The sequence below is a fragment of the Homo sapiens genome, chromosome 1 (genome assembly GCF_000001405.40).
Source record: "Homo sapiens chromosome 1, GRCh38.p14 Primary Assembly".
In the NCBI taxonomy this organism is placed as follows: Eukaryota; Metazoa; Chordata; class Mammalia; order Primates; family Hominidae; genus Homo; species Homo sapiens.
Genome location: NC_000001.11, coordinates 196,724,594 through 196,749,655, shown reverse-complemented (window position 1 = coordinate 196,749,655; position 25,062 = coordinate 196,724,594). Strand labels below are relative to the sequence as shown.

At 34.3% G+C, this 25,062-nt stretch overlaps 1 protein-coding gene across 1 annotated transcript in view, besides 1 other annotated feature; it reads right to left on the bottom strand.

Annotated features, from left to right (window-relative positions):
• CFH (complement factor H) overlaps positions 2,152-25,062 on the bottom strand; it is a 95,462-nt gene continuing 72,551 nt past the window's right edge. The window contains exons 12-22 of the mRNA NM_000186.4: positions 24,359-24,535; positions 23,004-23,186; positions 22,716-22,895; positions 21,134-21,310; positions 12,650-12,832; positions 11,996-12,181; positions 8,864-9,037; positions 7,605-7,781; positions 6,028-6,204; positions 3,657-3,839; positions 2,152-2,545 (exon numbers count right to left, since the gene is read on the bottom strand). Of these exons, the coding sequence (NP_000177.2) occupies positions 2,343-2,545; positions 3,657-3,839; positions 6,028-6,204; positions 7,605-7,781; positions 8,864-9,037; positions 11,996-12,181; positions 12,650-12,832; positions 21,134-21,310; positions 22,716-22,895; positions 23,004-23,186; positions 24,359-24,535 (2,000 nt within the window). The 3' untranslated portion in view covers positions 2,152-2,342. The remainder of the gene's footprint in view (positions 2,546-3,656; positions 3,840-6,027; positions 6,205-7,604; positions 7,782-8,863; positions 9,038-11,995; positions 12,182-12,649; positions 12,833-21,133; positions 21,311-22,715; positions 22,896-23,003; positions 23,187-24,358; positions 24,536-25,062) is intronic.
• Positions 10,690-10,890: a silencer, noted in NCBI's record as "peak638 fragment used in MPRA reporter construct". NCBI's record gives its function as "represses an SCP1 promoter by STARR-seq MPRAs in K562 erythroleukemia cells {active_cell/tissue: K562}" and the evidence as "EXISTENCE:reporter gene assay evidence [ECO:0000049][PMID:32103011]".

Genomic DNA, 25,062 nt, shown 5'->3' with positions numbered 1-25,062 from the left:
TGAATTTCCTAACATTTCTTCTGCTATTGTTTTCTAGTTTCATATGACAATGTTAAAAAAATTTATGTAATTTCAATCTTTTTAAAATTTTTTAAGACTTGTTTTGTGGCCCCACATATGATCTATATTGGAGATTATACCTTGTGTGCTTGAGAAGAATGTTTATTCTACTGTTGTCAAATGGAATGTTCTATATAGGTCTGATAGGTCCATTTGGTCTAATATAGAGTTCAAGTCCAATGTTTTTATTGATTTCTGTATAGACTGTCTATCCATTGTTGAATGTGGGTTATTGAAGTCCCCTACTATTACTGCATTTTTGTCTATTTCTTCCTTTAGATGTATTAATGCTTGCTTTATAAGTTTCATTGCTCCCATGTTGAGTGCATACATATTTGCAATAGTTATAATCTATTTGTGAATTGACTCCTTTGTATAATGACCTTCCTTGTTTCTTTTTACAGATTTGACTTAAAATTCAATTTTAGTTAATGTTAGTATAGCCCCCCTGCTTTCTTTTGGTTTCCATTTACATGGAACATATTTGTTTATCCCTATGCTGTGCTATGGTGTGCATAGTAGTACCCTTTCAAAATATGTGTGTTACGTCCTCATCACTATGGTGATAGTATCAGGAAGTAAGGACTTTTTAGGTGATTAGGTCATGAGGATTCCACCCTAATACATTGGATTAGTCTTTTTACAAAGAAGAGTCATGGAACTCCCTTGCCCCTTCCACATTGTAAGGACATAGTAGGAAGGCACCATAGTGGGAAGGCACCAAAACAGGGAGCAAGCCCTTACAAGACATCAAATCAGTTGGTATCTTAAGCTGGAAAATCTCAGCCTCTAAAACTGTATGAAATAAATTTCTATTTTTTATAAACTAGCCAGTTTATGGTAATTTCTTATAGTGGCTCAAATGTACTAAAACAATTTAGGAATAAACGTATATTCCCAAATGTTAACATTACTATCAACATAAGTTGCTAATTATAACAAATGTCCTTTAGATTTTTGAAATCTGGCTTTCCTCAACTCAAGCAATTTATCTAAATCAGGATCACTAACAAGGAGACAGCCTGAGTATATAAGCCACCTGATTTTATACAGTAAGAAGTAATAAGGTATCATTAAATAATATTTGTGTTGTATTATTGATATCTTTATTTTTCACATAATGGCTTCACCTCCTTTATGAGTTTAAAATGTTCCTAATCAAAAATGATTTTACCTAACTAGTGCTGATTAAAAAGAATGAATATAAAAATTACATTTCAGAACCTTACTATTGAAATTTCCAAAACTCTTCTACTCCAAAAATACTTAAGAGGCTATTTGATGTTAAGATCATTACTGATGAAATCTTTATCATTCTCAACATGCACCGCCTTGCTTGTTAGACATCATTATTTTAAAATAAATTGTGCTTTTGTTTCCAAAGTGATATATGTTAAAGGTAGAAAAATCAGAGGATACCGATATATACAAAAGAATTAAACCCTAACTTTTACCCCTAGTATCTCTAAATACACACACACACACACGCACACACTCACATACATATACATGTATACACACACACACACACACACACACACATTTATCTATAGTTTTGAATTTCCTGGCAATGTTTTTTCTATAAACATTAAATCAGGGCAAAAGTATCATGTTTCTATGTTTGCAAGTGAGTGCATGCAAGTGAGCATGTTATAACTGATACTGTGTTTTTATTTTTTGTATGTTTATGTTGTAATATTTATATACCCTATTACGTTTTAACTCCTCTTTATGATTAGTTTGCATTATCACGTGTGCTAGATTGACATCTTGTAGAAGTATCTACATTTCATCAGTTTTGGTGCATTTATGTATTGATATCACTTTTGGTGCATTTATGTATTGATAAATAGTAATTACTTATATCTCATTACCAACATGAGTTAAGACTTGACTTGGTTTTTACATCTTTGTAAAGTGATATAATTTTGAAATCAGAGACAATGATATGCTTTCCATTTTCTGTAAAACAGTGAGCCTCAGAAGCTGTGGAGAAAGCTTTGGGAGATTTAAGAGTGATGAACAGAAATAAAGTCTGAAAAATTGCGTCTAATTTCTTGCCACAAACATTTTATGAACTGGACACAACCGTTAGTTTTCCAGGATTTAATATGGTGCTTTTAAGAAGAGAGCCACCGGTCTCAGCTTATAATTACATTTTCACAAATTAATCCAAAATTTTACGTATGAATAAAAAGGAGTAAAACAATACATAAAAAATGAAATTGAGAACTGATTTAATACTAAAGTTCTGAATAAAGGTGTGCACTTTATGATTGATTCTATCTTTTTGCACAAGTTGGATACTCCAGTTTCCCATCCCAACATGTTGTTCGCAATGTGTGAGAACGTGATGAAAGACGATATCCCCGTTTACACACAAATTCAACTGATTCACCTGTTCTCGAATAAAGCTTCTGTTTGGCTGTCCACCTTAATGCTATGTTATAATTTTCCATAATTTCTCGGGATATTACACACGGATCTGAAAATAAAAAACAGTAAACATAAAACATTAAGTAGTATGCAAATCTTCATAGACTTTCAGGTTTTCAAGTAGAATGTTATATGATGGTTCAGGAATTATTTCTCAAAACACTATCCAAACCAACTATGTAGAAACATCATATTGATTTGAATAAACTTAGAATGGTAATCGATGTGAAAATGAGGTTCGATGTTTAATGTATGAGAATTAGGGGTGTATTATCAATGATTCATTACATCAGTTGTCATTTTAGGATCCCTGCGTTTTAGAACTTATCATTGCTGCTTTTGATTAAGATATTGGTCAAAGAGTACAAACTTTCAGCTATAATATGAATAAGAACTTGGAATCAAACATAGAGATCTAGTGATATTTAGAGCTAATAATATTGTATTGTTTATTTGAAAATTGGTAAGAAAGCAGATTTTAAGTGTCCTCACCACAAACACACACACACATACTCACACACCCACCTACACCCAATGCTAAGCATAGGTGATGAAGAATGTGCTAATTAATTTGTGGTAATCTTTGTAGCATAAATATATCAAAACAACATATTGTCAAACATCAAAATATATTTTTATTTGTCAACTAAATGCTTTAAAATAAAATATAAATATAAAGAGAAAAATTACTTTTTTTGTTGTTTTTATTGAGACGGAGTCTCGCTTTGTCACCCAGGCTGGAGTGCAGTGGCGCGAACTCGGCTCACTGCAACCTCCGCCTCCCGGGTTCCCGCCATTTTCCTGCCTCAGACTCCCGACTAGCTGGGACTACAGGTGCCCGTCACCATGCCGGTTATTATTATTATTTTGTATTTTTAGTAGAGACGGGGTTTCACCGTGTTAGCCAGGATGGTCCTCAATCTCCTGACCTCGTGATCTGCCCGCCTCAGCCTCCCAAAGTGCTGGGATTACAGGTGTGAGCCACCGCACCCAGCCCTAAAGAGAAAAATTTCTAAACTTTACTTTCTGACAGAAATATTTGGTAGGCAAGCATTCAGCAGAATGGTTGTTCAATAATCTGTGAGTATTTTGTTACAAACAGTGAAATATCAGACTCATCACAGAGATTTTTCCAGCCACGTGAATATTAAAGTACTTACGTAAGCATTTTGGTGGTTCTGACCATTGTCCATTTCTACATGTTATTCGCTTGTTACCCTCAAGTTGATACAAGTTCTGGCATTGGTACTCAACTGATGAAGCTGGAGCATATACTGACAACGGGAATGAAGTAATGTCCCCATTGTCAATAGGTGGAGGGGGCCCACATTTTCCTGTAGAATCTAAAAAACATCATTTCATCACTTGATTTGTTGTGAGAGCAAATCAAAATACAAGTTCAAATAAGGCAAACGCAAACACAGCACTGTATATAATATCAACAGTTTTGTGATTTCTGGTGAAAGAAATGAGTCCTGGAAGAAATTTTAACCCTTTAAACTGAAAGTAATATATTTAAGTTCTTTTCTCCGTACTGAAAGAACACATAAAACATTAACAAATATTGCTGCTTATGGTAGACCAGGATTAAGAAATGTCTTTCCGAATGAATACATGCTAAACATAGAAAACTATGACAAAGGAAGTTTCTTATTTCATATTCGAAAAATCCCATAGGAATTATAAAATGGAAAAGTATGACAAAAATTTTTTAAAAACACTGAATATACTTAATAATACATGGGGAGCTGACAGACAAATAAATCCATGAACTTGAACATACAGCAATATAAATTACCCACTCTGAAAATAAACTGAAAACAAAAAACTGAACTGAGACATTCAGAAAAATACAACAACAAATAATGCCGATGCAGAAAAAGAAGAGAAAGGATATTGGGCTGGAAAAATGAATAAATAAAATGATGCCTGAAAACTTCCCATTTTGACCATAAGGTATAAACTTATATTTAAGAAGCTGAGTGAACTCCAAAGAGGATAAAAACATTGGAATTTATACCAATATACATTAAAATAAAACTACTTTAAAAAAAGAAAAAAATACCTTGAAAGCAACTAGACAAAAACTATGCTTTTCCTCGAGGGGATCAACAATTCAAATGATGCTGAGTTTTTCATCTATAACCATGTGGCACGGTTTTCAAGTGTTCAAAGAACTGTCAACTCCAAATTTGATATCCAGTGACACGATCTTTTACAAGTAAGGGGATCAATACAGACATTCTCAGAGAAAGGGATACCAAGGGAATTTGTCTCCAGTAGACCTATGCCTAAAGATTAACTAAAGGAATTCTTCAAATTAAAATAAAACAGATAAAAGAAAGAGCTTGAGACTTTAGGATCCTGAAAAAATAGAAAAATAGAATGGATAAACAGAGGAGTCAATATAACAGGATATCTTTTTCCTCATAAGTTTTTTCAATTATGTTCGATATTTGAAGCAAGTGAGTTTAATATGGAGCTCAATGTATGCAGAGAAAATACTAGTGGCATTTATACTTACAACGTGGAGAGTGTAAATGGATCTACATGAAAGTAAGGTTTCCATATTCCAGTTGTAGATTTAAATGTCAGTGCCAGTAGACAGTAATATATTATTACATATATAGTATTAGCTAGAGCAACAACTTTTTAAAAGGAGGAGAAAAGCTATACAAAGAGATAGAATGGAAAACAATACATATGAATCGAAATTAATCTCCTTAATAATTTCCCTACAGGGAATGGAGGAATAGGGAAATAGGACTGAAACCCAGAGGAAACAGGCAGAAACAAATAAACGACAGAGATTTAAGTCCTATATATCAATAATTATTTTAAGTGTAAATGGTCCAAGTGCACCAGTTAACAGGCCATGAAAGGATGAATGGATATGTAAACATGACCCAACTATATGCTGTCTACAAAAACTCACTTCAATAATAAACATAGGTAGAGTCTAAGTAAAATAGTGAAAAAAAAAATACAGAAAAACATTAATTTTAAAACATAAAGGTGAGTAAGATACAATTTCCTTTTTTGGTTTCCCTTATTTCATCTCTTTATATTAGAATGACCCAGGACTATGTGCTCGGACTTCTTTTTATAAATACAGTCAGTCACACACCTTTAAATATAATCCATATACTGAAGATGCCCACATTTATATCACAGTCTATGATCTCTCTTCAACTGCCTATTCCATATCTTAGAATGCACATCACTTATGGCTGTCAAATGCACATAATGTATCTTTTATTACACGTATTCCTGAGAAGGAACTAAGTGTTGTAATGCTTAAAAAGTATTGTTTTTCAGGTTCCAACTCTCAATTTGGTCGAATCTTTCTGGAAAATAATATACCCTATTACTTGTGTTCTGTTCACAGGAAGAATTGAATTTTAAGCACCATCAGTCATTTTATTTGCATTTGAAAAATCTATTAATAAAAATGACTTCATTTTGTTTAAATCAACATATTTTAACCCTGCTATACTCCCCCAAAATGTTAAAAGAAATATAATACTCTACCTTTGCATTGAGGTGGTTCCGTCCAGTTTCCATTTAAACACATCACTTCTTCATCCCCAAACATTTCATAAGGGCTCCTACATTGATAACGTACTCTCTCACCAGATGGATATTTACTCATCTGTCTCGACACTATATAAGCATTTTGTACTGTGGGCGGATTCACACAGGAGGTGTCTGAATAGAAAAAAAAGAAGTGGTTCCACCTAGTGTTCATTTTGAGTAGCAAATCAACTGATAACAGTTACAAATATATTTCAAGACGAATTTAAAATAAGTAGACAATCTCATCAAATATTTTGTTGATTTTAATAAATTTAAATGTAATATTGAGGAAAAGACATGAAACTATTTTTTGTAAGGTACAAGCGTTGATGTTTTAAATTTCTTCTTCATCCTTCGCTAGAACACTGATAGACCTTTATTTTTCCCTTCTGGAAGCCAGTGTAAACGAAAGTTTTCCTGGATATCTCTCTTTGAGTTTGAGTAAACAAATATTACCAGTTCTATTTATTTAACATTAATTTATAAAATGCAAAAAGTCAGCATAAATAGATTATGTGATACCAGATTTTTGTTTGCAATCATCCTGCTTATACATTTTAGCCTCTTAAAAATAAACTCAAATAGGCATTTTCTTAGCGAATAAGCAAAGAATTAAAAACACATTTTGAAAATTACCCAAGTTAAAAGGAGGAAGAATGGTTAATCAAAGGATCCAAATTGGAGATGTGGAAAAATTTTTTTAAAAAGCCTATAATAATAAAAATAACCTCAGATAATTTAATTGCCAATGATTAAGGATATTATGCTGAACAATGCAAAATTCATCAGAGAGTTTCATATCCATGTGTAGTGAATAGACTATAGCAATGCTTCTCACTCGGAAGTGTAAATAGAATTCCCTGGAGGTGTTGGTAAAACAGTTTCAGGGTTTTACTTTGAGACTTTTGATTCTGGATGTCTAGAATGAGCTTACGGAATTTTATTTTCATTTCAAACAATCTCCAAGAAGATGATGATGCTACCGGTTTAGCGACCACACTTTGAGAACTATTGAGCTAAGATTAATCATCAAATACTCAGTTCCATCTTTTTATTTTTAGGCATACGACTACTTTGTCCTGCCGTAAAAACTTAATTTATGTCCATTTTAATGATGTTAGAGACAATTCTATATTTTATTCCCAAAACACTCTATATAAATAAATTGTACTTATATATTTATTTATTTCAGGTTTATTTATTTTTTTGAGACGGAATCTCACTCTGTCACCCTGGGTGGAGTGCAGTGGCACGATCTTGGCCCACTTCAATCTTCATCTCCCTGGTTCAAGCGATTCTCCTGCCTCAGTCTCCCAAGTAGCTGGGACTTCAGATGCATGTCACCATGCCCCACTATTTTTTTGTATTTTTAGTAGAGACGGGTTTTCACCATGTTGGCCAGGCTGGTCTCGAACTCCTGACCTCAAGTGATCCGCCCACCTCGGCCTCCCAAAGTGCTGGGATTACAGGCGCCAGCCACTGGGCTGGGCCCACACATTATATAAATAAATTTTGAAAATTCACCAAAGTACCTCTGCATGTTGGCCTTCCTGTCCATCTGCTATTAATGCATGTTACATTACTGGCTCCATCCATTTTGTAATATGTTGCACAAGTGTAAGTCACTTGCTCACCCGCCTTATACACATCCTTCTTCTCTCCCATGGGTATGGCATTTTCAAAGCTAGGTAAACTGAGACAATCTGTTTCTGAAATAGGAAAAATATGTATTTGTTCCGCAAATCTTTAAAAATAGGTTACATACAATACATGTAATGGATTCTAAAATAGCGATATATAGAATCAATGAATACTGTACAACATTTTTCTTATAACTTGAGAAAATATATTAGCCATTTTGTCTTAATTACATTAAATTCTTCTAAATCTATTAAAAATACAAGATAGAAATGATATTAGAAGACTGAAGAAATATTGGTAGCCGTAGCAATTGAGATTACACATTTTTTTGTTCACATTATTTTTGTCCATACTTGCCACCTGATATGGTTAGGCTTTGTGTCCTCACCCAAATCTCATCTTGAATAATAATCTCCAGGTGTTGAGAGAGAGACCTGGTGGGAAGTGATTGGATCATGGTGGCAGTTTCCCACATGCTGTTCTCACGATGGTGAGTGAGTTCTCACAAGATATGATGATTTAATAACTGTTTAGAAGTTCCTCCTTCACTCACTCCTCTCTCTCCTGCCACCTTGTGAAGAAGGTGCCTGCTTCCCCTTCAGCGGTAATGGTAAGTTTCATGACACCTCCTCAGTCATGAGGAACTGTGATCAATTAAAATTTTTTCTTTTATAAATTACCCAGTCTCAGGAAGGTCTTTACAGCAGTGTGAAAACGGAATAATACACCACCTATATTGTGTGTGCATTTCCAAATTTTTTGCTTCTATCAAATGTGAAATACTTATAATGATTTTTTAAAATATTTCAGAAAATGTACTTATAGGCAGATTGTTGATAAACTGACAGAAGATTGAATAATGTGGAGATTGATGAGTAGAGGCAGCTGTGCCCTAAGAACAGAGATGAGAAGTCTGAGAATATACATCAGAGGATGCTTAAAGTTCACACAAGATGATGTGAAAATGAACTAATTTGGCTTATAATGTCAAATGTTTTAATTACTACAGCTATAATTTCCCACAGCAGTCCAGAATATTCAAGAAAACCTTATGAATTTCTAGAGTCCCTGTTTACTTTCTTATTGGTACCACTTACACTTTGAATGAAGAATATTTATCATACATATAATAAAATTCAATGCACCATACTTATGCATGATGGAGGGTGAGACCATTTTTCTCCTAAGCATTTTGCAATTGCAGGCCCATCAATTCCAAAACCTTCAAAACATTTGTACGTAACTTCTTCTCCATACTGATAACTGTCTGACATGTGAGCTACAACACCATGAGAAATCTCAGGTGGAGATTTACAAGGAAGGCCTAAAAAAAAAAGAATGAATTCAGGTTTCACTAACTCATAAATTTAATTTTATATGCCTGTTTTAATATTAAGTAGTTTTATTTGAAAATAAACAATACAGGAGCTACTATGACATCACAGAGAAGTAACACAAATGTTTCCTAAAACTAGCCTTCTGGTGTCTGTCTGTCTATCGGACTGTCACCAACTGAAGAAGGACTTGAAACTAAAAATAGCAATACATTTCAGAAAGAGATCATCTATGCCTGGTAAACAATGCCTCTGTAAACTTACTAGTGATAATAAGATACACATTGAGAGTTAACGATTCCAGGTAAAACATAATATATTGTAGGAAATAAGAAGGGGCATTGTGGGAAGAATGTAAAAGAAGTTTTAAAACATAGTGGCAAAGCAAACATGACAACTTGCAGAACAGGTTTAGCTGTGTCCCCACCCAAATCTCATCGTGAATTGCAATTGCCATAATCCTCACGTGTTGTGGATGGGACCTGGTGGGAGAAAATTGAATCATGAGGGCGATTTTTCCTCTGCTGCTGTTCTCATGATACTGCGTGAGTTCTCCTGAGATCTGATGGTTTTATAAGGAGCTTTTCTGTCTTTGCTTTGCACTTCTCCTTCCTGTCATCATGTGAAGAAGGACATGTTTGCTTACCCTTCCACCAGGGTTGTAAGTTTCCTGAGGCCTCCCAGCCATGTGGAATTGTGAGTCAATTACACCTCTTTCCTTTATAAATTATGCAGTCTTGGGTAGTTCTTTATAGCAGCATGATAACAGACTAATACAGTAAATTGGTACTGCAGAGAGTAGGGTGCTGCTGTAAAGATAACCAAAAATGTGGAAGCAGCTTTGGAACTGGATAACAGGCAGGGGTTAGAACCATTTGGAGGGGTCAGAAGAAGACAGGAGAATGTTAAAATGTTTGGAACTTCCTAGGGAGTTGGACGGCTCAGAAGACAAGATGTGGGAAAGTTTGGCACTTCCTAGAGGCTTGTTGAATGGCTTTGACCAAAATACTCACAGTGATATGGACAATGAAGTCCAGGATGGGGTGGTCACAGATGAAGATGAGGTGAGGAACTTGTTTGAAACTGGAGTAAAGGTCACTCCTGCTATGCAAAGAGACTGGTGGCATATTGCCCTGCCTTAGAGATCTGTGGAACTTTGAACTTGAGAGAGATGATTTAGGGTATCTGGCAGAATAAACTTCTAAGTGGCAAAGAGCTCAAGAGGAAGCAGAGCATAAAAGTTTGGAAAATGTGCAGCTTGTAAATGCAATAGAAAATAAAACTTCATTTTTCTGGGGAGAAATTCAAGCCTGCTGCAGAAATTTGCAAAAATAATAAGGAGCCAAAGTTAATCACCAAGACAATGGGGAATATATCTCCGGGGCATGTCAGAGGCCTTCATGACACCCCCACCCATCACAGGCCCAGAAGCCCAGGAGGGAAAAATGGTTTGATGGACCTGGATCAGGTCCCTGCTGCTCTATGCAGCCTCAGGACTGTATCCCAGCTGCTTCAGCTCCAGCTGTGGCTAAAAGGGGCCAACAAACAGCTTGGTCCATTGCCTCAAAGGGTGAAACCCCAAGCCTTGGTGGATTACATGTAGTCTTGGGCCTGTGGGTGCACACAAGTCAAGAATTGAGGTTTGGGAACCTACAACTAGGTTGCAGAGGATATATGAAAATACCTGGATGTCCAGGCAGAAGTTTGCTGCAGGGGGGAGCCCACATGGAGAACCTCTGCTAGGCCATTGAGGAAAGGAAATGTGGGGTCAGAGCCCTCACATAGAGTCCCCACTGAGGCACTGCCTTGTGGAGCTGTGAGAACAGGACCACAATCATTGAAGCCCCAGAATGGTAGATCCATCAATAGCTTGCACTATGTTCCTGGAAAAGCCACAGACACTCAATGCCAGCCCATGAAAGCAACCAGGAGGGGGACAAAGCCACATCTGCACAAGGCTGTGGGAGCCCATCTCTTGCATCAGCATGACCTGAATGTGAGACATGGAGTCAAAGGAGATAATCTTGGAAATTTAAGGTTTAATGACTGCCCTATTAAATTTCAGACTTCCATCAAGCATATAGCCACTTTGTTTCAGCCATTTCCTCCCTTTTGGAATGGAAGCATTTACCCAATCCCTGTACCCCCATTGTGTCTAGGAAATAACCAACTTGCTTTTGATTTTACAGGCTCATAAGCAGAGAGGACTTGCCTTGTCTCAGATGAGACTTTGGATATGAACTTTTGAGTTAATGCTGGAATAAGTTAAGATTTGGAGGACTGTTGGGAAGGCATGATTGTGTTTTGAATTGTGAGGACATAGACTTGGGATAGGCCATGGTGGAATGATAGGATTTGACTGTATCTCCAACCAAATAACAATTTGAATTGTACTTCCCATAATCTCCATGTTTTGTGGGAGGGACTCAGTAGGAAGTAGTTGAATAATGGGGGCAGTTATCCCCATGCTTCTGTTCTCAGGATAGTGAGTGTGTTTTCATGAGATCTAATGGTTTTATAAGGGCCTTTTCCCTTTGGTCAGAACTTCTCCTTCCTGTCTTCATGCGTTTGCTTCTCCCTCCACCATGATTGTAAGTTTCCTAAGACCTCCTCAGCCATGCAGAACAGTGAGCCAATTAAACCTTTTTTTGTATGTATAAATTATCCAGTATTGGGCAGTTCTTTATGGCAGCATGAGAATAATACAGATAGGTTTAATTTCACTAGATATTATTTTTTAATGCCAGAATACAAAGTGACTCTATCATGAACAAATAAAATTAACATAAATAGAATAGATTCAATCATGCAAAAAGTATTTTAATGGTATAATATATAAATTATTTTATATATGCAGTAATCTCAATTATTCCCCTCACTTTGATAACAAGAGATTATTTTTATGAATTCTACTATAAACAGAAATTGAGTATTCATATTGGCCTAACCTTCACACTGAGGTGGAGAACTCCATTTTCCCATGTAGCATGTTGTTTCATTTTCTTCAGATATCCTGAAACCACCCTCACAAGTATAACTCAATTTAGTCCCATGTGCATAACTTTCTTGTGAAGACCTGGATGAATTAATGGTTCCGTGTTCTATCTGAGGTGGTTGTGAACATGGAATTTTTTCTAAATGAAGAATGAAAATCAAAGGGTTAAAAACAAATAAAATACTTAAATTGAAATATAAAACTAAATACTATTTCGGATTTTAAAGTGAGTATAATTTGAACAAATAAAATTATTTAAAAACAAAAACATATTAGAAACTCGCAAAGATATATTCCTCCACCATATCTATGTTACCATCCTCTTGTTCAATAATCATCTTCATTCATGTCTTGTTCATCACAAGGATTAAAATATGCATGAATGGAAATGTTATCTGACATTTACATAATATTCCAAAGATTTTGGCTGTATTTTGTTCAAAAAACTGAAAGAGTGGTGATTGATTAATGTGCCTAGGTCCTAATTTATTTTGTCAGGATAAAGTAATAGACACAGAGAAAGAACTTCTCTCTTGTTTACACGAAGCACAAGAGAATATTAACCTCATTTGAAAGAATTATGTAAAACAAATTATACACTACTGACCAACACAGAGTGGTATTGACTGCCATCTTCCATCTTTGCATGTAATTTCTTCTCCTTCCTGAATTAGATAATTTTCTTGGCAAAGAACAGATACTTTTTCTCCATCCCGATAATTCAGTGTGGTTGTCATATTGTGAGAATTGGGAATCTGAGGTGGAGGTGGGCATAATTGTATTTGTGCCACTAAAAAATATTAAAAATATAATTAATGTTATAATAAAAAATAAAAAATAAAAATATTAAAATTAGAATTTTTGATGAAAAATAATTTATATGATTAAAATAGAATAAATAGAAAGATCAATAACTGTTTCATAAATTATCACATATTAATTATGATGTTTTTGTATGCAAATATTATACTTTTCAGCTGTGTAACAGTTACATTAAACAATAGAACTTTTGGCTTGTATTCTCATAGACTTTCTTGTAGTTTTTTCATATATTCTTTGTTTAATAAATTTGCATAATTTATGTAATATTGATTTTAATTATTTTGAGCCTTTAGAATGTTTTAATGGAATTACACACTCTTAATTACATGCATTAAATAAAAATTGATATCTATAATCAAATGTATCAGGATTGGATTAAAACACTCACAAATTTTCTGCCAATGGAATCTGATTAGCCAGAAGTAGAATTATATGTAGTTAATAATCAATTTGGTACTGACACTTGACCAATATAAGCATTAAATATAATCACTAGTGATTTATAGTGTGCTATTTAAAACTTGAAACTCCCCTAGAGCTTTTATTTACTAGCTTACCTGTACTGTTTAGGGATATTTAAATGGATGTTATGCACCCAGTTTAATGCATTGCACAGCCTGGCTTTAGTTGTATAATCACATATAAAGACACCTTTGTAAACTCACAGCTAAGCTCCTGTTAAACTGCGATACATCAGAAATATCTCATTTTTTCATAATATGAAAATGAAGCATGTCCTGTTTGACTGACGGGGGAGTTTAGAAGCATCTGGGAGCATTCTATAATCCCTTGATTTTCCTTTCTCCTATCATAGTGTATGCTCTACTTCACCTAAAGCTTTATGTAATCGTACTATAGGAAATCATGGCAATGATTTTAAGTGTCTGACATTTTGTTATCAATTCAGGGAGACGTTTGGATGAACAAAACTTCATTAAAGGTTATTGATAATGTCGAGTTTTCTTTTTTCGCTTATGATAAAGTATTTCATATTTATCAAAAGTATTTTGCTTATTTCTGTTTTTCAATATTTTGACATGTTTTTAACATTCTCATCAATTTATTTTTCTTAAGATTAATGGTCAACTATTTATGCTTGAATGATTCTTTCCTTCTATTTTTGTTGGGTGTACATTCCTGTCTACCTTCTAGATTGTAGTACCTGTTGCTTTTATTTTTTTATTTGTTTTTTCTGATGCATGTTATAATGCTAAATACATCTCTGTTTCAGCTGTATCCCATTGATTTTAATGTGTACCACAATCATTATTATTTAATTTAAAGTATTTGCTGATAGTAAACAATTAAGAAAGAGATTATTTAACATTTTGTGACATGGCAAATAAATTTGAAGAACATTGTGACCCAGTATAGCCTAATTCTACATTTAGTGTGTATGCATATTTTTATTTGTAAATAGAACCGTTAGCAAGGTAGACTATGTGCTGAGCAATTAAAAAACTGAGTGTTTCAAAATATTGAAATTTTCCCAGTATTCTTTCACAAGAGAATTAAATTAGAAACCAGCAAAAATCACTTATCTAGAAAAAAACAAATATTTTGAAATTAAACAATAAACTTCCATATAATTAATCATCAACAGACAAACCACAAGACAAATGAGAAAATATTTCAAATCAAATAAAAATGAACTCTCTCTCTCTGTCTCCCGACACATAGAACATACACACACACACGTGTGTAACATTCTGGGACACAGCTAAAGCAGTGCTTAAAAGAATAGAGCTTTAAAGTTTTATATTTTCAAAGTATGATAGTTTATGACCATGTTTTCATTTTTCACCCTAAGATTGAGAAAAGTGAAATTAAAACTGAAGTCATCAGAAGGAAGAAAACAGTAAAATCAGTGAAGAAGAGAAAACGGACAAAGAAACACAGAGAAGGGAGAAAATTAGCAAAGCTAAAATCAGTAAAACATAATAAAACTAAAAAATACAGAGCAAATGGAGAAAATTTAAAGGCATTACAATTGGTTTTTGAAAATATTAATAAAATTGAGGACAAAGTAAAAACAATGATCAAGATTTAAAAAATGATCAATATTGAGGATGAAAGAGGGCAGTGACATCAGCACGATGCCAGTATAGGAAGCCACCACTCTCCCTTCCCCCCACAGGCACACTGATTCAATGACGATACTGGAAACAATTCCCTTTATGAGAAATCAAGAAACCAGTTCAAAGCCTCCTGCAACCCCCTAAAGTAAACAGAGACCAATATATTTTGACTGCTTCTCCCTCAGAGAGGAAAGATAAGAGTGAACTAAGCATCTATCATCCTAGCTTTTGGGGGAGCATCCTAAAGTACAGGTTTCTCTCTTGCTTGTGTAGGAGCACTTAACGATACCTGCAATACTCTAGTTTCCTGGGGGTAAAATAAAGAGCTAGGCAGGGAGTGATGTCAGCAAAATGGCAGAAGTGGAAGCTCCTGACTCTTCTTCCACCCAAGAATGTCCTAAAAAAACATCTATTCATAAATGAACTCCTCCTGAAAGAAAATGAAAGACCAGTAAAGGGACTCCTACTTAACAGGCAACAAAGACAACATTCACATTGAACAAGTAAGAAAAGTTGCAACACAATGGAGCATGGACCCCAGCCTTGTTCACTGCACCACACAATTAGAAAAGGAATCTCAAAAACCCAGTTTCTCCTTGTGGAGAAGTTTTTGGATCTCACATAAAGCATCCTGTGTTTTGGCCTTTAATTCACTAATTTTGGAAGCAGAGGAGATTAAACACATGAGAGTCTCTCTAGATCACAGGAAAAATGGTGGTATGATACAAGTGCTGAAGAGCTTCCAGAAACTTCATTCCTTAATAGCAGTTCAGAGAAGGGGCTGAAAAAACAGTCCCCTGTTTCTCCCGAGAAGTTTTATGATATATTCTTCCTGTGGCTACTTAGAGGTCTGAATTCTAAAAAACTTGCAGTCTGGATTCTAATGAACTTGCATCAGGCACTTCTCTAGCCGGTTCCCGTGGCTCACCCCAGTGATACATCCAGGTACATTAATCACTCTTAGAACAAGTTTGTCCACACAAACTTGAGTGCCCTAACTTTTACAACTTTCATTCAGGGACTGTATTCTAAAGCTCTTAGTTCTGGGAGTAGAGGGCACAAAATATATCCAGAGTCTATCTAGACCACTGAAAAAAGAAATGGCGTTTTATATGGGTGTGTAAGCACTTCCAGGAGCTTCATTGCCCAAGAGCAGTGCAGAGAAAAGGTTTTTAAAATGCAGCTCCCCTGTTTATCCTCAAAAAGGTTTGTGTCATCCATCAAGTGCTACAACCTTTACAGTTACCTCCAAAAGGACTCCTCTTAAAACTCTTAACTGTCACAGCAGATATTAGAAAAATACCAGTCTCCATAGATCGTAAAGCAAATAGATGGTCTTAAAATGCTATGTAAAAACTCCAGGCGCTATGCCAAATTGGAGCAGTGCAGAAAAGGAAAGAGAAAGTTCAATTTCCATTTCTCTGTCGAAAGGGCTTAGGGCACATACTTCCACTGGCTACTTAATGAACTGGCCTCTATCGAGCTTGCACAGGGTATCTAATGACGCAAACAAAAAATAATCTTCCCGCAGCCAAAGCCAAAGTTTGGCACTTCATGAGTCTCGCCCCAATGATAAATTCAGATTTATCCATTCTTCCTGGACCAAGTTTAGCCATGCATTCAAAGGTCATCACTTCTATAGCTCCAACTCAAGAGATCGTCTCCTTAACAAACTCACACTGGGAGATGATAGAGATCTGCATTCCTGAAAGGCCCTACATCACAGAATACAAAAAGCTGGTAATACAATGGACTCATTTCAAGCAGATACCTCTTCAGGATCAGAGCATGCAGCCTGAATATTAGTACAGGTATTAGCCACAGATTCTTTACTTGGTGTAATACAGAGAGAGAGTGGGAGATAAACACGCACATTCACTTTCACTATGAAAATAGAAGTAAGTAAATACACAGCCAAGTCTTCAATATTTTCAGCTACATCTAGACCTCCTGGCTCCTAACTTGTTGGTCCCAGGTCCTGAAAAGATGTGGCACATTCTAACCTCCAGGGGGCCACAAAAAATAAGAGACAGCAGTCCGCACAAAGACTTGAGAGGCACATGAAAATCTCTGGCTGGAAAAATTAGTGAGGTCTTTCTCCTATATGAAGCCAGTCTGATAAGACTGAGAAAGGCCATTGTCTTATCTATTGCATAGAAACACTGTGAGTTAAAGAAAATAAAGAAACAAGATATCATAACTCCAAACAAAAGAACAAGATGAGTCTCCAGAAATTGACCTGAGGGAAGTGGATATAGGTGTTTTACTCAAGAAAGAATTCAAAATAATGGTCATAAAGATACTCACTGAGACCAAGAGAGCAATGCAAAAACAAATTAACTACTTCAACAAAGAGGTAGAAAGTATTTTTAAAATACCAAACAAAAATCACAAATTTGAGAATACTATAACTGAACGGAAAAGTTTTAAAGAGGTATTCATCAGCAGACTAGATGAAGGAGAAGAAGGAATTAGTGAACTTGAAGTCAAATTACTGAAAATCACCAAATCTGAGAACCAAAATAAACACATAAATAAATAAAAGTGAAGATAGCTTAAGATCCAGATGGAATACTACCATGTGGAATAACGTATGCATTATCACCATGTTAAAAACAGAAAGAAACACAACGATACAGAAAATATATTCAAAAAAATAATGACAGAAAACTTTCAACAACTGGGAAAGAAATAGAAACCCACACCCAGAAATCTCAAAGGAAATCAAATAAGTTTAATGAAAGATAGTCACTTTAAGACATAACACAATCAAATTATCAAAAGTTATAGACCAAGTATTGAAAAAAGCCAATGAAAAGTGAATGGTTACATAAAATGGAATTTCCACAAGACTATCAGTGGATTACTCAACAGAAACCTTGCAGGCCATAAGGAAGTGGAATGATATACTCAAAATTCTGAAAGAAAACAACTGCCAAGGAATAATTCTAGATTCCACTATTCTGTCTTAAAAACAAAGGAGTGATAAAGGCTTTCTGAGATTGAAAAAAAGCTGAGAGAGCATAAGGACACTTTCCTGCCTTACAAGAAATGTTAAAGGGAGTTCTTGAAGGTGAAAGAAGAGGATGCTAATTAGTAACATGAAGATGTTAAAGTATAAAACTTACTAGTAAAAGTAAGCACAATATGAAATTCAAACACTCTAATACTGTAATAGTGATGGGTAAATACAGCTAGCATAAAGGTTAAAAGGCAAAAGTGGTAAGAACAGCTGAAGCTACAAACTTTGTTAAGAGATACGAATTATTGAAAGATGCAAAGCATGTGATCAAATAGAAAACATGGGAGGAGCAGAGTAAAATTTAGATATTTTATATGTAATCAAAATTCAGTTCCTATCAGCTTAAAATACCTGTTATAAGATATGTTATGCAAGCCTAAGGATAACTACAACTTCAAATAGCCTTTTATAAGGTATGCTATGCAAGCCTAAGGATAGCCAAAAGCAAAACATCTAATAGATACACAAAAGATTAAAAGAAAAAATCCTAAGCATATGGCTACAGAAAGTCATCAAACCATGAATAAAGCAAGCAAGAAAGAAACAAAGAATTTTAAAAACAACCAGAACACAATTAACAAATTACCACTATAAATCCTTACCTATCTAAAATTACTTTAAATGGAAATGGAATATATTCTATAATCAAAAGGCATAGAATGACTAAATAAATCAAAAATTAATATCCAATTATAAACTGCTTACAATTGACTTACTTCACTGTAACGTAAATTCACAGATTGCAGTGAAGGCATGGAAAAAAACCTATAAAAATAAAAACTAAAAGAGAACAGGGGTAGTTATACTCATTTCAGACAAAATAGACAAGGGAAAAATTGTATAAAGGTACAAAGAAAGTTATTATATAATGATAGTGGGGTCAATTTGTCAAGATAATACAACTATTATAAACCTATATATGCACCCAACATCAAAGCAACTAAATATATAAAGGAAACATTTAGGAATCTGAATGGAGATGTGGACTGCAACACAGTAATAGTAGGGGATATCAATATTTTACTTTCAACGTTGAGACAGATCATCCAGACAGAATATCAATAAGGAAACATTAAACTTAAACAATAATTTATACCAAATAGATTGGACAGACATATAAAGAACATTCCACATAACAAAAAAACACATATTCTTCTCAAATGCGCACAGAATATTCCCCAGAATATGTTATATGTTAGGCCACAAAACAAGTCTTATCAAATTCAAGAAGACTGAAATCATATCAAGTCACTTTTCTGACAACAAAGGTATGAAATGAGAAATCAATAATAGGAGGAACTATGGAAAATTTTAAATTAGGTGAAAATTAGACAATATGCTCTGAAACAATCATAGGGTCAAACCATTTTAAATAAATTTAAAAATATTTTCAGTAAAGGAGAATGGAAACAAAACGTAGCAAAACTTATGGGATGCAGCAAAAGTAGTTCTAAGATGGATGTTTTTAGGAATAATTGCCTATATCAAGAAAGTGGAAAGAACTCAAATAAACAGTCTAGTAGTACACCTCAAAGAAGCAGAAAAACATGAACAAACTAGTCAATTCCAAAATTAGTAGAAGGATGGAAATCATAAAGATCAGAGTAAAAGTAAGTAAAATAGAGCCCCCAAAGCAGTACAAAATATCAATGAAAATAGTTTTTTTTTAGATAATCAAAAATTGACAAAGCTTTAACCAGAATAACTAAAAAAGAGAGATACGGCTTAAAGAAACACAAGATCGGAGATGAAAAGGGTGATATTACAACTGATATCAAAAAAATACAAAGTATAATGAGAGACCGTTATTAGCAATTATATGCCAACAAATTGGATAACCTAGAAGAAATGGATAAATTTCTAGACACACAGCCTACGACGATTAATTCAGAGGAAATAGAAAATCTGAACAGAGTAATCATGAGGCAACAGATTAAGTCAGTAATAAAATGTTTCCCATCAAAGAAAATCCAAGACCTGATGGCTTCATTGCTGAATTATAACAACATTTTAGAAAGGACTAATACCAATTCTTCTAAAACGACTCCAAAAATTTGATGAGGAGATCATTTTTCTAACTCATTCTAGTGGCCCAACATTACTCTGGAACCAAAACCAGACAAGGACACAACGCAAAAAGAAAACTACAGGCAAAATCCCCTGATGAACATAGGTACAAAACCCCTCAACACTATACTAGGAAAACAAATCCTACAGCACATTAAAAAGATCATTCACTATGATCAAATGGGTTTAATCCAAGAAATGTAAAGGTCGTTTAACATAGGCAAATTAGTAAAGGTGATGCATCCCATTAACAGAAAGGACGATAACTATACGATCATTTTAATAAATCTATATAGAATGGCTAAAACTATAAAACTTCAAGAAAAAACTGTAGAACATGTACACTTCACTGCATATATATATTATTTGCTTCTTTAAGGACTCTAAACATATTGAAATGTTGATAGCAGATTAGTTTTTGTATTGGTTGTCAATGCTTTCTGTATATCCTAGACTGGCAGACATTGGTAAAAATATTGAAGTTAGTGAGGCAAGGAAACCCACAATTGGATAGCAAAATACAGATATAAAATATGAGAAGACTGGAATAAAACCTACACTATTCAAGTGAAACTGTATGTGTCAATATGACTAACTTTTCAAGATAGATGAACAATAAATTAATAGATAAATAGATGATTAGGTAGATGAACAGGTAGATGAATAGACAGAGAGATAGATTAAATAAATGAATCAACAGAAATAGATATAGATACATACATACATGCATACAGACATATACAAACAGATACATAGTAGTTATTGGCATAGACAGAGGTATAGGCACAGGAACATTTGTTGACAAGAAAAGGAATGAGAAGCACTGGTCCTCCAACAGTAATGATGACATGTAGTGCCTGGTTTATGTGTGTGTGTGTGTGTGTGTGTGTGCGTGTGTGTGTGTGTGTGTTTATACTAAAGGTAACTAATTCACAGGGCACAGTTAATATTAGGAACAGTGTTTTCATTAGTTTCTAGTTTACCTGCCTTATTCAGTAGCATTTGTAATAATAAATAGCTAAAGTTTTTAAAAGACACACATACCTATTACTTTTCCAAATGAGAAATAGAATACATTTCTGAAAACAAAATAAGAGCTTACTTGAGCAGTTCACTTCTGGATCCCATCTTCCATTTATGCAGACTGTGTGTATCCATCCTTCTTTTCCTCTACATCTGTACCTTATGTTAGAATTATGATCGAATTCCTTCTTGTTTTTTAAATGTTCCTCAAGTATAATTAAATTTGATGATTTGCACTTCTTAAGTTTATCTATTGCTATAAAATAAATATATTTTTATGAAAATTCAAATGATAGGAATCAAACCAACTATTACATAAAAATAGTTATAAAGTAAATAGTATTAGCATGGTAAAATTATGACTTAATCATTATAAATTTCACCAACCAAGTTATTCCTGATCACATTGCATCAAAATGCTATTATGTCAAAATATAAGCCCTGTATTCTGTCGCTGAAATGTTAGAGATACCTATCAGAAGACATTTTATTCTTTGGGAAATACAAAATATCATTGGATATTTCATTGGATAAATAAGTATGATTGGACATTAGGACTCTTAGAATTCAGGACCCAGGAAAACTTTAGGAAAAATCTCAGTTTAGAGAAAAGTGAATGAGGGTCCCCAAGATCCTCCCGGTTAGTCATCAAAGAGGCAAAATGATTTTAAAGATTGTACATCTCAAGTCACACTGTAAGTGAATCACCTTGCCTTCTTGCTGATCAAGACATGAGATTTACAGTGTGAAGTCCGTCAATGAGATTTACGTCCTGACTCAGTCCCTGACTACCTCATGCCACTCAGCTATACCACTGATGTAGAGGGCCTGTGGCCCACCAACCCTGCAGCACATTCACTTATTTTGGCTGATATGGAACAAACTGAAAAATTATCACTTTTGGAAGCTTTAAGAGAGAAAAGAATCCTATGGGAGAGTAGTAAGTAGGTATTTTGTCAACTTTGTTTCTTTGCTTCTCAGTGCCTAAAAAGGAATACCATACAATAACAATAATATTTATATTTTATATAAAACTGTTATAATTTCTCAGTAATTAGTACTCATATTTAATCATATGATAATTTTTTAATATTTTTGTTTTTTAAAGAAAGAGTCTTACTCTGTTGCCCAGGCTGGAATGCACAATAGAGCTCACTGCAATCTCGAATTCCTGGCCTTAAGCAATCATTCCTCCTCAGCCTCCCAAGTAGCTGGATTACAGGCATGCACCACCACACCTTAACTAATTACAAAATTTTTTTTATAGAGATGGGCTTTTGCTATATTGCCCACACTAGTGTCTACCTCCTGGCCTCAAGCAATCTTCTTGCCTTGGCCTCCTGAAGTGTTGAGGTTATAGGCGTGAGCAACCACCCTGGCCTCACATGACAATTTTTGTAAGTAAAATGTTGCTTCACACTTTTAAATATAAACAATACTGTTATCAGACGCAGAAAGATTCATAAAATTATATTACTAGCTTTATTTTTTCTTTCTAGACACATATTGAATTATAAGCAATATGCAAAAGATTGGTCTCATATTGAAGACTGGAAATGTTGAGGCATATCTGTAAATTTCAAAAATATAGTTGCAATTATTGTTGTTACAATAAAAATATTAAACTTTGTTAAATGTTGATTTAAGAAGGGTATTCTCACCCACACACTGGGGAAGTTGGGTCCATACTCCATGAATACACGTAATTGATCTGTGTCCAATCATTGTAAATGATTCTGAGCAATTGAATTCCACTGAATCTCCATAGTAATAAGGAGGGGAAGAAAGCTGGGCCCAGCCATGTTCAAGTTCAGGTATATCTCCACAGGTACTCTCCTCCACTATGTAAATTTTACAAAAAAAGTTTATTGTGAAAACATGATGTATGTGTTTTAGATACAAAATACAAAAGTTTTGACAAGTTTAAATATTAATATTTTATACATTACCAATACACACTGGTAAAGTTGTCCACTCTCCATCAACACATTGAATTTTATTAGGTCCCTTCATTAGAAATCTAGGATTGCAATAATATTCCACCACTTCACTGTGTCCATATTCTTCTTTCGTTTTTTCCTTAACATTCCCATTGAGGAGTTCAGGAGGTGGACCACATGATTGTACTTGCTCTATAGTAGAAATACTATGTAAATAATGGTTAAATTGTCTGTTTTACAATATAAAAATTCAGTAAAATGGAAAGATTTTCTTCTTTTATTCATGTATTCTTCATTATGTAACTTATTATAGCATCCTAAACAATCAAGAATGGTGTTCATATTGTATTACTTATACTAAATTGTCATATTGAAGGTATATTAAAATGTTAAAATATGCTCAGACTTCTAGATATCTTAAAGATGCAAGAAAACCAATTAGCAAATGTGGTTATGAAAATCATGTTAATTTTTACATTTCATGGAAACATTTTATCATAACATTTTGGAAAAATATCATAACTGAGGCAAGCATTTGATCAACATAAAGTTTGACTAATCAATACAAGCAACTGAATTGAATATAAGCTGCTTAAATATTGTTTAGACACACCCGGTGAAACTTAAGTTGCAGCCCACACTATATAAAATGTCCAGAATGGATGTTGACATTTCAAGCAAAATGAAAATTAACAAAGAAATCCCTCCATTGTCAGCCACTAGTATGGTTTAAATGTTTGTCACCTCCAACCCCATGTTGAAACTTCATCCCCAGTGTTTCAGGTGGGGTCTAATGGGAGATGTTTGGATCATGGGTATGGATCTCTCATGAACAGATGAATGCCCCCTCTCAGGGTGAGTTCTCACTCTATTAGCTCCTGGAAGAGCTGGTTCTTAAAAAGAGCCTGTCACTGCCCTGCTCTCTCTCTTGCTTCCTCTCTCATCATGTGTTCTCTGGACACAGTGGCTCCTCTTCCCTTTCTACCAGCATTCTGTGGCTCTCACTGAATGCAGATGCCCGATCTTGAATTTTATAGTCATGAGTATAGTGAGCCAAATAAAACATTTTTACAAATCATCCAGACTCAGTTATTCCTTTATAGAAACATAAACCTAAAGTAGACTAAGACCGACAACACCTGTGTGTCTGGGAATACTTCCAGCACATCGTTCAAGAAACAGTGGAGATTAACTTAAGTGACTGAATCTCAGGTATTCAGTACTCAATACATGTCCTTCACAGGCAAATATTTGACTTAATTCATTAGATTACAGGCAATGGGAGCCCAAACAAAATTAATAAGAAAAAAGTTGGTATTCAAAGTTCTAATTCTTATTTCAGCAATTGTAAGATAAGCATTCACCTTTACATATTGGGAGGTCAGGAGACAATCCAAAGTGGTAGCACTGAACGGAATTAGGTCCAACTATTGTAAATCCTGGTTTGCAGGAGAATTTCAACACCTCTCCAACTTTATACTGGTCTTTCTTGCGATCAGGAACTAAGTGTACATCTATTTTAGGAAGTTCGCATTCTCTTTCTTGAAAAAGGTAAAATAATTTCATGAGAATATATAATTAATCATTGCCAAAGTTAATTTTACATATGCCACAATAAAGTGAGGTTGATATTGGGTCATACAGAGGGGCATCAGATAAATCCTTTTCCCTGTAAAGAATGCTACATATTATGTTTTATATGCTGTCTAAATTGAAATGGAACTTTATTATAAATGTTATGGTATTGAAATATATCTGTTCTAAAAATTAATTTGTAAATTCAACTTATTTACAATGAATCTAGTTTTAATCACTGACATTAATGAAATTTAATATTACTTTTTTTACTCAAAACATGAAATTACTCTCTCATATTAAAAAAGAAAAGTGCATATAGACCAGAATTGGGGCTTTTTGAAAACAAGATGACTGACTAAGGAGTTTGGACACAAGTTCTCCTCAGAAAGAAGAACCAAAGTTACAGGTAAATGATCATAACTTGAAAAATATTTAAGAGAGGGTGCAGGAGCGTCATAGAGAAACCATGGAGAGAAGCCAAAGCATGGAA